The 17,362-nt window shown below is 52.5% G+C and overlaps 1 protein-coding gene across 11 annotated transcripts in view, besides 1 other annotated feature; it reads right to left on the minus strand.

The window, feature by feature from the left end:
• COL23A1 (collagen type XXIII alpha 1 chain) overlaps window positions 1–17,362 on the minus strand; it is a 352,776-nt gene that overhangs the window by 183,199 nt on the left and 152,215 nt on the right. The gene's annotated exons all lie outside the window — the stretch shown is intronic.
• Window positions 16,324–16,827: an enhancer, noted in NCBI's record as "H3K27ac-H3K4me1 hESC enhancer chr5:177864141-177864644 (GRCh37/hg19 assembly coordinates)". NCBI's record gives its function as "activates a minimal SCP1, AML or CMV promoter by ChIP-STARR-seq in naive H9 embryonic stem cells {active_cell/tissue: H9 hESC(naive)}" and the evidence as "EXISTENCE:reporter gene assay evidence [ECO:0000049][PMID:30033119]".

Genomic DNA, 17,362 nt, shown 5'->3' on the forward strand with positions numbered 1-17,362 from the left:
GTCTTCATGCCCATCCTGCGGGGAGGGCTGACCTCATGGGGGTCTTGGTTATTTTCAATTTATTTGTAGAACCTGAAACAGAGTTCCATTCCCAAGGAAAACCCTCATGGAAGCAGAAATAAAAACAGAATGTCTCCCTCCCTGGCGTGGGGGGGTCACAGGATCCCAACCCCAGGGAGCCGCAGGGCCCAGCCCAGGAGGGGATAACTAGTGTTCTTTGTTGACCAGGAGGCTTAAAACACTCTCTGCTCCCTTGTTTCCATTTTCTCTTAATAAATAGGCTGGTCTGGGGAAAAAGGTTCTGGAACTGTGAAAAGTTCCCACAGTGTAACCCAAACTGTTTTTGAAGTGCAATATCAGTAAAAACGGTCATGATTTGGTTTTTGGAGATATAGGTTGACCTAATGAGTATGCGCAATAAGAAAAATATTTCTCTATAGGAGAAGAGCAACACGTAACTGGGCAGACACTGGACTTGGATCTGGAAGAACCTGGATTTCCAACCAGAACCCGCCCTTACTAGCTGTGTGATGTTTCTCAAATCACTCAGCCTCTCTGAGCTCATTTTCTTTATCCATAAGGTGGGAGTAATTATATCTGTGTAGGGAAACCGAATTTGGTAATGGATTAAAGTCTCAGCACAAGATAAGCATGCTACCCACTCCACACCATCAAAGTCTGCCTTCTCCTCTCATGCAGATGTTTTCCAAAGGCCCTGCCCACTGCCATTTGTCGGAAACAGAAATTCACTCCATTAACAGAGCAGACAGGGCCAGGCACAGTGGCTCACACCTGTAATCCCAGCACTTTGGGAGGCTGAGGCAGGCAGATCACCGGAGGTCAGAAGTTCGAGACCAGCCTGGCCAACATGGTGAAACCCGTCTCTACAAAAAACAGCAAAAATTACCTGGGCGTTGTGGCAGGCCCCTGTAATCCCAGCTACTCAGAAGGCTGAGGCATGAGAATCGCTTGAACCCGGGAAGCAGAAGTTGCAGTGAGCTGAGATGGCGTCATTGCACTCTAAGCCTGGGCAACAAGAGTGAAACTTTGTCTCAAAACACACACGCATACACGCAGGCACCAAACAGGCAAAAGGTGCTTGTGAGGTGAAGAACGCCGGGGGGTGGAGTGAATATGGGCGGGGCTGAGGCTGCCCAGGGGGCCTCCCAGCCCTGACAGCTCCTCCATGGGTCATGTCGGACATGCCTTTTCTTTTTAGGCCTCAGCTTCTCCAGTAAAATGAGGACTTTATCTCAGGGCCCTTCACTTTCCCCAGTCCTGAGATTGTATAAAAACGTAGCTAATCCTTATGCCCACATCTCCAAGCAAGATTTTGAAGAGCGCACAGTGTCTGGATAATAGGTGAGCCCCTGGGGCTCCGAGAAGGACAGTTCCCAGCTCTGTGCAAGGAACATGCTGTCTGAAGGGACTCACCCAGCACCCAGCACCTTCTAGGTACAAAGCTCCTGCACGTTCTTGCCCGAATCCTGACACTTCCCACAGGCAGCTGCATTTTCCCAAAAGCCACTCTGACTGGCTCTTCTGCTTAACGTTAGACACGATGTCAGCCTTGACAGTAACAGAGCTGCTGAGCAACTGAGAGCAAAAACAAGTCAGAAAAGACATTTGGCTCTGGGGACTGAGGGCCAGAGGGCCAGCAGGTAGCAGCTACGTGGGCAGCTCAGACAAGCAAGCGTGCCCAAAGGTGGCCCATTCAGAGGCACATCATCCCCCCGCTGTCTGCACGTCCCTGAGCCACAGCAACCCAGCAGGCCGGGAGCTGGGAGGGACGGGACCTGTCAGCACCTACCCACTCACCCACCCCCACGTGGTCGCCATCCATCAGCCTCCCCATGTTTCTGGAAGATGCAGGGAATAAAATCACTCTGCATTTCCACGTAACGCCGGGGACTGTCACTGAAGACCCCAAACTGTCCCTTGTCCTCTGGCAATACAGTTAGGATAAATTACCAGACTATGTCATTATAATTGTAGTATAATTACTGAGTATAATTATAAATAATTATAAATCATGATTATAGATAGTCCTTGACTTAATGATGATGTGACTTATAATTTTCTGACTTTATGGCTGTGCAAAAGTGAATGACATTCAGTGGAAAGTACAGTTTGAATTTTGAAGTTTATTTATTTATTTTTTAATTTTTTAGAGACAGTCTCACTCTGTCACCCAGGCTGGAGTGCAGTGGCATAATCATAGCTCACTGCAGCCTGGAACTACTGGGCTCAAGCAATTCTCTTACTTTAGCCTTCCCAGTAGCTGGGACCCCAGGCACACATCACCACGCCTGACTAATTTTTTAAGTTTTAATTCTTATATTTTTTTTTGTAGAGACAGGGTCTCACTATGTTGCCCAGGCTGGACTTGAGCTCCTGGCCTCAAGTGATCCTCCAGTCTCAGCCTCCCAAAGCACTGGAGTTACAGGGATGAAGCACTGGGTCCAGCCTGAATTTTGCATTTTGATCTTTCACTGGGCTAGTGATATTCAGCACAATACTATCTGGTAATCCTGGCAGCAGGAGGACCCGCAGCTCCCCGTCAGCCATGTGATCATGAGAATGAACCAGTGATCTATGGTGTACGGTAATCAACACATTACAGGAGACATTCCACACTTTATTATGAGATACGCTTTGTGCCAGATGAATTTGCCCAGCGTAGGCTCCTGTGAGGGTAGCCTGGGCTGAGCCGCGATGCTCGATAGGTTAGGGGCAGTAAATGCATCTTCCACCTCGGATGGGTGGATGGGGATGTGACCTCACTGTAAGTCGAGGGGCATCTGTGCATACAAGTGCAAACATGTACACACACACACAGCCCTGGCACGTCCCCTCTCCTTGTTTGATCCTACTCTAGCACGGCAGTCCTGTAGTCACATTCATCACCGTCCTCAGGTTACCCACGAGGAAACTGAGGCTTGGTGAGGGCTACCGCAGACCAAGGACCTAGAGCTGGGAGCACTGCCTGGATCCCGGCCTGCCCATGACGCTGTGCCTCACAATAATGCTCACTTTAATGTTGGGGTGCTCCAGACAGAGATGTCTGCGCGTCTGCAAACATGGTAGCTGTGGCCCCTCACCCTAATCCAGCAGATAATCCAGGAGGGCTGAGGACCAACAGGTGGAAAAAGCCCATTTTACAGATGAGGAAATTGACACTTGGAAGAATTAAGTGACTTTCTCATTGTCACACAAATAAATAGCAGAACCTAAGGCCCTCTTCCTTCCTATCTAGGGCCCTTTCTCAGCTGCTTGGCCTTAGGGGAAGTAACGCGCTTGCTCCCTGCTCCAAGGCAGCGGACAGGAAGAAAATCAAGCAGCCTCCCTTGCAGGCCCGCAGCTATTCATTCATGCATCCTGCATTCATTCATTCACACTGCCTTGCCCTGCATTAGGTGCCAAAGCAACTCTCCAGTCCTCTCCAGGATGAAGCCTACAGGCTATGGAGGTGCTTGTTAAAACATCTTCGCCGCATTGGGCATGGAATGTCGTGTGAATGTGAAATTGGGCCTGCCCGCCCAGCATTCTAGGGCAAGCACTGTGCTCTGCGGGACGCACACACGGAACAGCCAGGCTTCAGGGAAAACCCTTTGATCCAGGGCCCAGTCATGTCCTCTGCTCTGCTGCTGCCCCCGGACAGACAGTAAAATGTGCACATCAGTTGGAGAGAGAACACTTCATGCTCTTCTCTGGAGCTGAACAAAGAGGGAGGCAGTGCTAGGGCCAGGACAAGACACACCGGCAACGCTCAGAACTGGAATATAAGGGCAGTTGTAGTCATTCGCGGTTCTGCAGGTCAGGACTAATGGTCCTAGACTTTCTTCCTTGAAGTAAAAATCCCCCAATTAAACCTGAGCTGTCACAGTTATGGCTCAGGGTCTGACAGCACTAGCTGGGCCGCCCTGGCAAGTTATTTATCCTCTGAGTTACAGACACTGAATCCATAAAATGCAGATGATAATCTCTCCTCCCAACTCCCCCAGGCCTTCTGGAGGATTCAGTGTTATCATGGGTGTAAAAATACCACACAGAGGGGGTTCAGTAAGTGATCTAGGGCACCCCGCTCATTGGAGAAAACCCAAGAGGGGTCCTGGCCTCGCCTCCTCCTCAGGAGATGGACTGTCAGGGAAGCGAGCGCCCAGGCTGCCATCCAGTTCTGGAGGCTTCAGCCTCTCTCCACCGACCACTGACATGCCTTGGGGCATAGAATTTCTTCCTCTGTAAGATGGAGACAACGCATGCCTGGCCAGCGGAGAAAAACGCAAAGCAGCCTGTAAAATCCAAAGCAAAGGGTAAAGGGTTGCGGCCGGTTTGGTGGCTCATGCCTGTAATCCCAGCACTTTGGGAGGCTGAGGCAGGCAGATCACCTGAGGTCAGGAGTTCGAGACCAGCCTGACCAACATGGGGAAACCCGGTCTCTACTAAAAATACAAAATTAGCCGGGCATGGTAACTTATGACTGTACTCCCAGCTACTCGGGAGGCTGAGGCAGGAGAATCGCTTGAACCCAGGAGGTGGAGGTTGCAGTGAGCCGAGATCGCGCCACTGCACTCCAGCCTGGGCAACAGAGCAAGACTCCATCTCAAAATAAATAAATAAATAAATAAATAAATAAATAAATAAATAAATAAAAATAAAATAAAGCCAATGGTGGCTGTTTCCCGCGCTCACCTCTGTTTCAGTTTCCTCATCCGCAAAAAGGTGGATCTGAACATTGACACCACAGGGCAGTTTTGAGATGTATGGAAATCAAACGAGATATCAGTGGTGCAACCGGCCAACACACGTCTGGCATTCAGTGGTACTCAATGAATGCAGAGTTTGGGTCTGCCGGCAACTGGAGGGGCTGGGAGAAGCCGCGGTGAATGGCAGGCCGGCCATCTGCAGCTTCAAAGATGGCTGCAGTGCACCAGCATCTGCCTCCAATGACTGTCTTGCTATCTGCTCTCGGCTTTTACTTGGAAAGATGCTTTGATATTGACTAACCAGGAGAGCCTGATGAATTTGTGTCTTGAGAGTGCCGTGGCAGAGGCATCTTCTGCTACTGCCTGCCCATGGGGCTCAGAGGGCTGGGGGCCAGCCGCTCCCGATGGACTTGTGCTCCGGTGAACACACACCCAGAAAAGGTGCCACGGTGGGGTCCTGAGTTCACCTCTGAGGTGGGAACTCCCTCCTCTATTCTCTCCACAGCAGGGGGGGCAACCAAAGGGGCTCACATTCCTGCCGCTTCCTTCAGTGTCTTTGTAGAAGTCTCCGTTTAGTGTGGTCAGGAAAGGCAGCAGAGATGTTAGACATCAGGCATTTTGTATACAAATAATTATTTCATAAACAAAGATCTATAAGACCATTATCCACTGTTTGAAAAATGAAAAAGAGAAAAACCCACCCTCAAGCCCATCAACCCAAGAGAATTCTCCGTATCTTTGTGGATTCCTACCTAGTCTACAGCCTTGTGCAAATGCCCTCTTAGTCTCAACTTCAGCTCATCGCTTTTCGTCTTGCATTCTCCCCTTCCTCATTAGATGACCCACGTTTTTCTGTGTTGCTTCTTCACCTCTGTGTTTACCATGTCTAGTGGCTGCCCCATTGGGAATGCCTGGGCCACCCTGTTTTCGTGCACACTCCCACGCATGTCCCACTGCCGGACACAGACCAGCTTCCACCTGCGATCGCGCTCTGTGCTGCCATCCGGGCGCAGATCCTGCTCTGGCTGTGGTCCATCCCTGTAGATGAGCCGCCAGAAGTGGTGGATGCCGCACACCACCCCCTGCAGCCTGCCACCCCACCAACTTCCCTACTGCTGCGGGATCCGAAGCAGCCATTTGAAGACCGGACTGTGAGACAAGCCGCAGAGAGAGAGAAAATATTTGCAAAAGGCACATCTGATAAAGGACTGTTATCCAAAGTATACAAAGAACTCTTAAAACTCAACAATAAGAACGCGAACAGCCCCGTTAAAAATGGGCCAAAGGCCTTCACAGATTCCTCATCAAAGAACATAGATGATGGCAAATAAGCATACGAGAGACGCTGCCCATCATATGCCATCAGGGAAGTGCAGATCCAAAATAACGATGAGGCCAGTGTGGTGGCTCACGCCTGTCATCCTAGCATTTTGGGAGGCCGAGGCAGGTGGATCACTTGAGGTTAGGAGTGCGAGACCAGCCTGGCCATTATGGTGAAACCCCGTCTCTACTAAAAATACCAAAAAAATTAGCCAGGCATGGTGGTGGGCACCTGTAATCCCAGGAACTGGGGAGGCTGAGGCAGGAGAATTGCTTGAACCTGGGAGGCAGAGGTTGCAGTGATCACACCATTGCACTCCAGCCTGGGCGACAAGAGCAAAACTGTGTCTCAAAAAATAATAATAATGATGATGAGATACCACTACATACCTATGAGTATGGCCAAAATCCAGCACACTGAACCACCAGATGCTGGCAGGGATGTGGAGTATTGGGAAGCCTCGTCCATTGCTGGTGGGAATGCAGAAGGGTACAGGCCCTTTGGAATACAGCTTAGCAGTTTCTTACAAAACTAAACATACTCTTGCCATATGCTCCAGCTATCTTGCTCCTTGGTATTTACACAAAGAAGCTGAAAACGTATGTCCATACAAAAGCCTGAACACAGATGATTATAGCAGCTTTATACATAATTTCCAAACCTGCAAGCAGCCAAGATGTCTTTCAGTAGGTGAGTGGGTAGGTAAGTTGTGGTACAGCCACAGTTTGGGATATTATTTAGCTACATAATATTTAGCACTGAATAATATTCTATTATTCAATGCTGACAAGAAATGAGCTCTCAAGCCAGGAACAGACATGGAGGAAGCTTAAATGCATATTATTAGGAGAAAGAAGCTATCTGAAAAGGCCACATGCTGTGATTCCAGCTAGATGACATTCTGGGAAAGGCAAAACTATGGAGATGGTGAAAAGATCACTCGTTGCCAGGGGCTGGGGGAGGGAGGGATGAATAGTTGGAGCACGGGGGATTTGGGGGACAGTGAAACTATTCTGTATGATACTATAATGGTGGATACATGTCATTGTGTATTTATCCAAACCCACAGACTGTCCAGCACCAGGAGTGGTCCCCTAATGTTAACTGTGGAGTTTGGGTGATGGCATGTCATTGGTTTATTAATTCTAAGGAATGTACCCTCTGGTGGGGGATGTTGATCCCTGATCCAGGGAGGAAGGAGTATTAGGAAGCCAATTTGGCTCTGGTCCAAGCCCTCTCCTCCAGTCCAGCCTTTCCAGCAATGAGGGTATCATCAAAAGCCCACATCTATGCTCACTGGCTCAGATATCACAGGGAAAAGAGAACGAGGAATCCAAAGTCCTGAGCAATCGTGTCCCCTTAGGTGACCAAGCCTTCTGCTGTGGGCTCCCCGAGGCATTTCCTGGGAGAAGGGTCTCTGGCTTCCCAAGATGCCATCTCTCCAGCCAAGAAGGTGCCCTGGGCAGTCCCCGAGGCTGGCCATCCCCTCTAGAACCTGCAGGACCATGGAGCCAGCTCTTTGCACGAGGAGGAGCCTTCCTGGATCAAAACCTACCAAGATAACAGGGAACCAGGGGCAGCTTCCAGGGCCCCTTCCTCATTCTGCTGCTCGGAACTCCTTGTGACAAGGACTGAGTGAGTGTCCGGAGTGACTGCCAGCTGGGCCTGTGCTCTGTGTCCAGGAGCCGCGGCAGGGTGCCCAGCGGGGCCTCTTGGATGCTCCTCCTGGCTGGCAGCCCCTGCCCGGCCCAGGCCTTTTTAGCCCCCGAGCCAGGATGGCAGCCTCTTCTCCTGACCTCATTATGTCAGCGCCCGGATTGTGTGCTGGGGCTGGGCTGGGGACAGGATGTTTTCTGCTTCTCCAGGACATTGTCACTCTCTTGGCCTGTGATCATTCATTTCAGGGCCTCATTTTGTTCCTGAACTGGGCTCAGTGTTAGGATTTTAACTGCTCATCTGCCCAGATGGGGGCTGTGCAAGCAGGGTCTGCAAGCAACTCTGCCCCTGGAGTGGTGCCTCGTGGGGGTGGGGGCAGGGCTGCCTTTGCCTCCCTATTGTTTCCAAGCCAGCTCCCTACCCGCACACAGACAGGCAGGCCCTCCGTGAGTGTCCTGAGACCCTACCACACCCCAGTGCTGCCCAGGCCCAGCACCCGGGGTGCGGGTGTACCTTCTTTTCTGCTCGTGATTGGCTGGGGCACGCGACTGCTCTGTAAACCAGGTGCGGGGAGGGCCAGGCAAATACTTAGGTATGTTGGGCCCCATGCCAGGCACCAGGGCATTTCAGCGCCTTTACAGCTCCTCACAGCCTGGGGAGGTGGGTATTACCTCATCCTGCAGTGGATGGGGCATGCGCCTCGGGAAAGGCCGGGACTCATCCAAGGTCACAGGGCAGAGCTGGGGCGCCACCAGGCCCGTCTACCTCAAGCCCAGCACCCCACACCACACCACAGGCCTCCCCTCCACACCCCACGAGCGAAGGGCCCCTCCTCTGCCTTCCTCTAGAGAAAGTTGCCCTGCTTCCCCGGCCTGAGCCTCACGGTGTGAAAGAAAAACAAAATGCCAGGACCTCAAACTCACCATGCCAAAGCGAAAGTTAAGCTCAGAAACTGAGTCAGGCAAAAACTGCCTTCCTTTTCTTCCCAAACAGATAGCTGCAGTGTCGCATGCTTACTTTAGCTTGTGTAAACTGTAGATTTAGTGAGTGGGAGATGAATGCAGAATTTTGGCTCCCCTCACTCCCTTCTTTTCATGCGTAAAATGTAGATTCATTGAGTGCCGCTTCCTGGTCTTCCTGGTGAGGCTGCACGCACTCTCGCCTGGACACTGCACACTCCCTACTGCCTCCCCCAGCTCATTTTCCACATTGACGCCAGAGGGATCTGAGCACATGGCCCTGACTGTGTCCCTCCCTGCACCACCCTCTATGGCTCCCCATGGCCTACTGGCTACCGTCCAAGTGTCTGAGCCTCTGCTTAGAGGGTCTACAGTGTGGCCCTACTTCCTTTCCCTGACCTATGGCCTGGCTCTAACCCCACCTCCCTCTGCACCACTCCCCAGGCATGGCTAGAACTCTGCTACAGTTCTGTCCCCACTGACCGTGCCTTTCCCTGTGCAGGGTCGCCCTTTCATGTTCCTTGTCCAGGCAGGCTCTGGAGTCAGCTTTCACAACCTGTCCCCAGGAAGTATGTTCAGCCAGGGAGGTCAGCCAGGTACTCTGTCCCCTGAGGTGCACCTGGAAAGACCCACGTGCCTCAGCCTGTCATGCTGAACTTTTAAGAGCACCAGAAACTTCTGGGTGGAACTGTCACTTCGAGACCTTAATCCAGAATATGCTGCATTATCTTGATTGGACATTCATTTCCTGTCTCCCGAGAACGATCACACCCCATAAGGAATTTCTCCCATGCAAGCAATTAACAAAGACACACAGGTGACTTCACTGGGGCCCCAGGTTCCTGGGTCTCTGCCCACTGGAATTCTGCCACTCACTGTCAAGAATTCCAGAAACGGGTTCCGATTTCCTAAGGACATCAATGGCACCAGTTGCACAATTCCATCCTGGGGCTCATAGTCCCCTGGAAAGGACACAATGGGACGTGGGAAGACAAGGAAAGAAGAGTAGTTCTGTGCTCGTGAGAGGCGAGCTTCTCTCTTCCTAGGGGCTGCCAATACCCTGGCTCTCACCTCCGTGGGAAAGATCCATGTATGTCCACGTGTGACGTGCGCAGCAGAGTGAGCACAGAGTGTGAGCGTGCAGAGAATACTGGGCTCCTGCCTGATGTCCAGGTAGGAGACTGAGAAAGGAAACTAACAAAGTTGGATGGTTTCTTTCAATGGCAACTTGGGAAATAGAGCATTCTGATAAAATGAGAACAAAATAATCCATTTGCTTGATTCAACACTAGTCACATTTTCTGAGTGCTGTGTCCCAGACCCTGGGATCTGGGTCTGTGATATTCTCTCCCAGCCATGCATAGGTGGTGCCTTGTGGTTGCTAGGTATGGTGGGTACAGAGGTAGGTGAGTCCCTACCTGGGAGTCAGGCAGCATCCCACAGCCCTCACGTGATGCCCTGGGTGAGTTCATACAGACGTAAAGACATGAGCGGCCTGCTGCAGGAGCACAGGGCAGGGAGATGGTGGAGGAAGAGATGCCAGAGGGAGACGGGCTAGGAAGGAGGAGCAGAGTTCTCCAGGCAGGGGAGGGAGACCAGAGCCCCAGGCAGTAAGTGCGGTGTGAGCAAAGACATAGAGGGAGCACCGCCAGCTTATGGGATGGCAAGTGGGTGGGCTGAGGATGCTGAATGACAGTGACAGAGGCATGAGAAGGATCCCAGGAAGGCCAGTGGGCCCAGGCTGCCAGTGGGGAGCTGGGCTTGGGGTTGCAAAACTCAGGAACTGCCCTCCTGTCACACGCAGGGTGTGTCCTGGTCAGAGCTGGTTTTGGAAAGCTCGTTCTGGGGGCAGACACCTCTTCACACACAGACTGTTCTGGGACACAGCTGCCATGGTGAAGTTCCCAAAGACACTACGGTTGACAGAATAGTGGCTCCCCACAGATAGCCCTTCCCTAATCCCCAGAACCCGCGAATGGTTCCTTCTGTGGGAACAGAAACTGCAGATGTGATGAAGTTCCGGATATCGAGACGGGGAGACTATTCTAGATTAGTTTGGCCCCAGACGTAATCACAAATGTCAAAGTGGAAGATCAGATACAGAAGAGAAGTAGGCGATGTGGCCATGGAGCAGAGACTGGAGTGATGCAGCCACAAGCCAAGGAACGCTGGCAGCGGCCAGGAGCTGAAGAGGCAAAGAACGGATTCTCCCCTGGAGCCTCCAGAAGGAAGCTGCCCTGCCACCATCTTGATTTCAGCCTTTCAAAAGACTCATTGCAAACTTCCGGCCTCAGGAACATTAAGAGACTAGATCTGTGTTGTGTTAAGCCACCAAGTTTGTGATAATTTGCTACAGCGTCCACAAGAAACTAATACAGCCACCTTCTTGAATTGTCACACATTGGCAGTCACGAAATATCTCACTTGGAGAAGAGTCATATCAAAGTTGTCTGTGGTCACTTTGGCTAAGTAGACTAAACACGGGATGGGGGAAAATCTCTGACTCAGACTTTCTCTGGGCAAAGAACAGAAATCCATGAGAAATGATTTACCAGTTCTGATGCGAAATCTAAGAAGTTAAAAGTCCTGCTGAAATAGAAAGGGGCTTTTGCAAACTGCTTGTAAGGTCTTGGAATAAAATCTGGTACGTCCCCTGAGTGTTTTAGGACTCTGGCTACAATGAATCATTGCAGCATTCTTCAAGGTAACTTATAGAACCCTTTCCTTTTATTTCAAAGCCTTCAGGAAAAAGTCCTCACATTTATTCATGTGGACGAGGTCCAACTAAGAAAAGAGAAAGCACTCCAAGGAATTACAACAGAGGGAATTTAATGCAGACGGCTCGTTACACAGGTGTTGGAGGAATTGAAAAGCCAAACAGAGGACATTTTAAATGACCCACAGGTTTGCAACAGCAGATAGTGACTACCACCCCTCAGCTGGAGTGATAAGTGGCAGGAGGTTGTGGGGACCCTGGCAGGAAATATGGGAGAAATACCCCATTTCTCTTTGCCCCACCCTCTCGCCTGCCTCCTACGCTCCCGGCAGGAAGTCAGAAGACCCAGGAGCTACAGGGCTCAGGGTCTGTCACATGGAGCAGAGCAGGAAAGAAGCAGAGAACAAGGAGGCAGGAAACACCCAGAGCTGGGCTTGCAGACTGAGCGAGGCCTCAGTCACCCTCCAACTGAAGAGACTCAAGCCAGGAAGCAGGGAGAGGATGCTGGGCAGAAGCCAAAGGAAGTAGAAGGCAAAGAACCCCTAAGCCAATGTTCTGGGGCTGGTAAGGGCCCAGCCCTGGGACAGTCGTGCTGAGTGCCTGCCTGGGACAAGTGCCCCAGGGCCCTCCCCTGCTCTTCCTTGAGGTCCTGGGCACAGGCTCCCTTTCAGCTGTTCTGCTGACCTGTTTGGTCCTTACCCCCCTTGCAGTGGTCACTAGGACTCCCCAGAGCTCCCTTCACCCACCAACCAATTCTGGCAACTCGAATCCACCACACCCCTTACTACTGGTAGCCCTGGACTGCTGAGACCATGGTAGCTGGAGTTCCCTTGGTTTCCCTCTCCGAGAGGTTTATTTCCCTCCTGACACCAAATGCAATGGTGTCTTTTCCATCCTCCTTCCTCCAACACCAACCAGAAGTCCCACAGTTCAGTTCCATCCTGACACTACTGGAAGTTGGTATGGACTCCGCAGGTTTAAGGCCCAGTCCCCCAAGACTGCTCCCACCGCAGAACCCAGCTGTAAGCTCTGGGCCACCAACTGCCAATAAATCAGGGGCTCCCACGACCGCCTCCTCAGGCTCGGTGATTTGCTAGAGTGTTTCACAGAACTCAGGAACACATCCTACTTACATTTACCAGCTTAGAAAGAATACAAATGAACAGCCAGATGAGGGGGTCCACAGGGCAGTGTCTAGGGCGGTCCTGAGGCAGGAGCTTCTTCTGTCCCTGTGGAGTTGGGGTGGGGTCGCCACCCTCCTAACACATGGAAGCTCTCGGAACCTCGTTGCTGAGGGTTTTTATGGAGGCTTTACTACGGGCACAGTTGATCAGATCATTGGCAATTGGTGATTAAACTCAACCTCCAGCCTCTTTCCCCACCCCAGAAGTGGAGGGTGGGGCTGAAAGTTCCAGTCCTCTGACCCGCAGCTCTCCAGGGGCCCTGAGCCACCAGTCACGTCATTACATACAAAGACACTCCTATCACTCTGAATAGTCCAAGGATTTTAGAGTTCTGTGTCAGAACCAGGGATAAATACCAAATACTTATTTTTACCACACTCTCATTCATTTAACCCTCTGTTAATGGCTGAATTGTGCCCCCTTAAATTCACATATTGACGTCTTAACCCCCAGTACCTTAGGAGATTACTGTTTTTGGAGATGGAAACTTTAAGTGATTAAGTTAAAATGAGGTCGTGTGTCCTAATCCAACAGGACTGGTGTCCTTACAACAAGAGAAGATGAAGACACAGACACACACAGAAGGACGGCCATGTGAGGACACAGGGAGAGGCAGCTACCTGCAAGCCAAGGAGAGAGGCCTCAGGAGAAACCAGCCCTGCCCACACCTTGATCTCAGAGCTCCAGCCTCCGGGCCTGAGAAAATAAATGTCCATTGTTGATGCCATCCCAACTGGTACTTTGTTATGGCAGCGCACACACTCACACACCCTCCCAATGCCTCAGGAAACAGCGACTGTCATCTTCTCCACTTTCCAGATAGGGAAATCAAGGCTTAGAGAAGTGGGCTGCCCCAGGTCACACACTGATGCCCCAGGTCACACTGTGGGTCAGTGGCAGGCTGGGCTTTTCTGCTGGCCTCTGCAGCCTTCTTGGGTACCTCCTCCTCACGTACTCACTGGCCCCGAGGCACTGTTCTCCAGGACAGATGCAGCAACCACACATGGTCCCACCAGGACAGCGCCCCTGCAGCACGGTGGCCTCGGGCAAAATGCCTGGACCAGGACTTGGACATTGGGCGGCTGTGTGACAGGCATGGACTCTCACATGTCTGAACCTCACACCTCATCTGTAAAATGGTGAGGTTGGGTGAAGATCAAAGGAGAGGAGGGGCAGCTGAGCCCCAGCCTGGGGCCTTCCCTGGGGCCTTCCACTGGCGCTCTTCCTGGGACCCCAGCTGGGCGCCTGGCCTTGCATCCCAGGTGGGTAATCTGGAGACAGTGGGGGGCTCTGGCCCTGGTGCTGCTGAGGGAGGGAAGAATCTGACCCTACCTGTGCCCCTCTAGAGGCCGGTGCCTCCCCAACATCTCCACTTCACCGCTGAGGAAACTGAGGCCTGGGATGGTGGAGGGCTGTGGGGTATCATTTTCTTAGGGCCCCAGTGCTAGAGCTTAATGGAGATGGGATTCCAGCTCAGGGCTGGTTTCAAAGCCTCTGCCCGCTGCAGGAAGGCAGGCATCCACTTCTGAACCCTCGGTCTCAGCCCTTGCAGGGCAGCCCAGCCCCGACCCTGCCGCCGGTCAAGACTGTGTTTCCCAGGGGCCTCTGCTGCAAGGGAGGGGGTCGGCACCCGTCCAGCACCGCTCGCTCGATTTCCAGCCAGCACCGGATGCAGGCGCTGTGTGCCCAGCGGGGCGAGCAATAATCTTTTCGTCTATTCCTGGCTCCTGGAGATTTGCCTCTCTCTGGGGAAATTACTTTGGGGTCACAGTGAAATTTCTGTGACAGCTAATAAAGTAACCTTTCTGTTTCTGGAACCAGATCCTGGAGTCCGGGACCCCTGTGGGCTCTGTATTGTATTTTTTTCTCCTCTTTTAATCTCCGGATGAGGTGAAAGAAGGGAATGGGAGTGTGGCTCATTCCCAGCTGAACGGGACTTCCTGGCCCAGGCTGGCTCTGACATTTGCAAACATGGAGCTCAGGGACCACGGTGTCACCACTGGAGCCCCAAGTGATCTTCACCTATATGTGGGGTGATTCAGGAGTCCCAACTTCAACCCTCCACTTGGCAAACCTGGGTGCGGAGCCCTGAGCTGGGCACAGAAAGGCAGCCCAGCCCTGGGGTGCAGACCACGCATGGCTCACAGCAGCTGCCATGGTGGCGTTCCATCCCAGCTCTGCCACCTGACCTCAGGCGAGTTACTGAGCTCTCTCAGACTGAGTTACTTCACCTGCAAAACTAGATAACTACAGGATGCATCTCGTGGGCTTCCCGGGCAGCTGCAGAATTTCTGATGAGGAAAAGCGAGGGGGAGGGAGGTGATCTGGTTTCAGGGTGTTGAGAGGGAAAGCTGCTTTTGAAGCCGCAATTGCATGCAGGGCCCTGTTTACCTTAGATGGTATGTTTTGGAGGTGGCCCTGGAGAGGGCACCCCCATCCCCCTCAACTTCCCGGACCTGTCACTGAGGACTGAGTCAGATGACGCGCAGAATCGTCTAACACGATGCTTGCCACATAGGTAGCACAGAAAATGTTGATGCCACATCATTTTAGGACTGTTTGACTCTTGCCCGGGATGAGTTTACAGAACAAGAGGGAGGCAGCCACACAGCGGTCATTACAAGTGCGCCAAATGTGCTGGGCATCGTGGGCATGCACAGCAAGCATGCTTAATTCTGCCTGGGCACTGAAGGCCGACTTCACGGAGCTGGTGACATTTTAACTGAGGCACGAAGGATGCGCCTGGCCTCAACAGGCTGAGTGGGAGGGGAGAGGGAGGTCAACATGAGCAAAATGGGGGCATAGCAAGGACCCTCCTGGAAAAGTTGGGGGTGAGGTAGCCCAGACCCCTGAAAACCATCCTAGGAGGGGATGCTGAGTCCCAAACCCAGATGTCTGGTGTTTAGTGCTATGGACAGTGTGGGAAGTGAGAGAGACAGAGGCAGAAAGACCAGAGAGGAGGCTGCCCCCATCCCAGGCAGCCGGTGTCCAGGTCAGCGGTTGTGGCGAGCACGGGGAGAGGGCAAGAACCTCAGGACCCTGCAAGGCTGCATTGGGGGGTGGGGTCGGGGTGGCTGGAAGGGGAGGGCAGGAAGAGCAGGTGCAGAGGGTGGGGTACGTTTCAAAGGGAGAAGGCACAGAACACCAACTACGGTCCAAACCACCTGGAAACACACTGTGTGTTCTTCCCAAAATGTGCCATTGTCAAGGATGCCCTAGGGCTGACTCGGAACAAGAGCTCCAGAATGCTGAGCGAGGTGCTGCTTCCCTGTGGCATCCCTGTGCAGCGGTGGTGACCAGCTAAGCCCTCCTTACTGAACAAAGAGGTGGGAACTCAAAGATAAACTCTGCTCATTCCTCATTACCCGTCCAGGCCACAGAGCTCACAGCTAACATTTATTGGGTACTTACCATGTGAAGACACAGTGCCAAGCCCCTGGCAGGCTTGGTAAAAACTCTTGAGAAGTGTTACCCCCATTTTGCAAAAGAAGAGACTGGGGGTCAGAGAGGTTTCACTTCTCAGTTAAAGCTGCACAGTGGTAGACGGTGGAGCTGGGGTCGACCTGGCCTGCACAATTGACAGAACGCATTCAGAGCCTCATCTCTCGAATTGCTTGTTTCCTGGTGATCCCCCTCCCTAAGATCACAAGGCTGTGTAGAACAGGGATTTGAACCTGGGACTGTCTATTGCCAAGTCATATATTCTTAATACCCTGCCCTCCACCTCAGTGGAGTATAATCTTGTTCTTTTATCTAATTCCTGGTGGGAGCAAGCCTCGGCCAGGAGGTCATTCAGCTGGGAGTGAGCCACACTCCTGTTCCTGCCCTTCACCTCATCTGGTGATTAAAAGAGAAAAACATACAATACACAGCCCACAGGGGTCCTGGGCTCCAGGATCTGGTTCCAGAAACAGAAAGCTTACTTTACTGGCTGTCACAGAAATCTCGCTGTGACCCTAAAGTAATTTCCCCAACCTCTGGCTCTTTAGGACCTACCTGGGATGAAACAGGGTGCCAGGAGAGGTTGCAGGAGCAGAACTGAGCCGGGTCCAGGGAGCAGGAGGTCGCCAGGATCTGGTCCACTTCTATGGAATCCCCAAGCCCAGCAGGAGCCTCCCATGCCACAGTTGCCAGTGGATGAGTGGATGTGTGGTGGGGAGGAGGGTAGAAGGCTGTATGAGCTGGGCCCCAGCCGCTATCTGCCCAGCAAGGCATGTGGCCTGCCCAGGGGTCAGTCCAGCCTCTGAGCATATGGCCCTGGTCCCACTGAGTTCTCAGGGCCCAGGCCCTGAGGGTACCCACTGTCCCACCTGGATCACACAGTCATGGCCCCGTACTCCCCTACTTCCCTGCTGCTCACCTGGCCCCTCTGTGGCCAGACCTACGTCTCCATCAGTCCCAGGGCCAGCTCCTTCCCAATGTTCATCAGCCAAGATGCGGGAGTCAAGAAGCAAACCCAGTCCTGGAGGGTGCTTGTGGGACGGGACCCAGGACCCCAACCAGCAAGGGGCCTGGGGGGAGGTGGGATGTGGGGTCAGCCTCGGCTGGGCTGAGCTGCTCATGCCTGGTCTGAGTGCCCACCATGGGCTCAGAGGCCCCTGACCACCACAGTGATTAAACTTGAGGTTTAGGCAGGGCTGCTGCTTAGGCCTCAAAAAAATCTCAGCTAATGTGTCTTAATTCCCTGGAAGAGGACCTGGGGCCAAAGATGTGCAGGGGCACAGCTCCTCTGTGGCACCTGTCCCCATCCTCAGATCCTCTGCTGTGGTCCAAACCAAAGAATTAAGGGATTAAGTGTGAAGAACACAGACAGCACCTAG

This window comes from Homo sapiens, chromosome 5 (genome assembly GCF_000001405.40).
Source record: "Homo sapiens chromosome 5, GRCh38.p14 Primary Assembly".
Taxonomy (NCBI): Eukaryota; Metazoa; Chordata; class Mammalia; order Primates; family Hominidae; genus Homo; species Homo sapiens.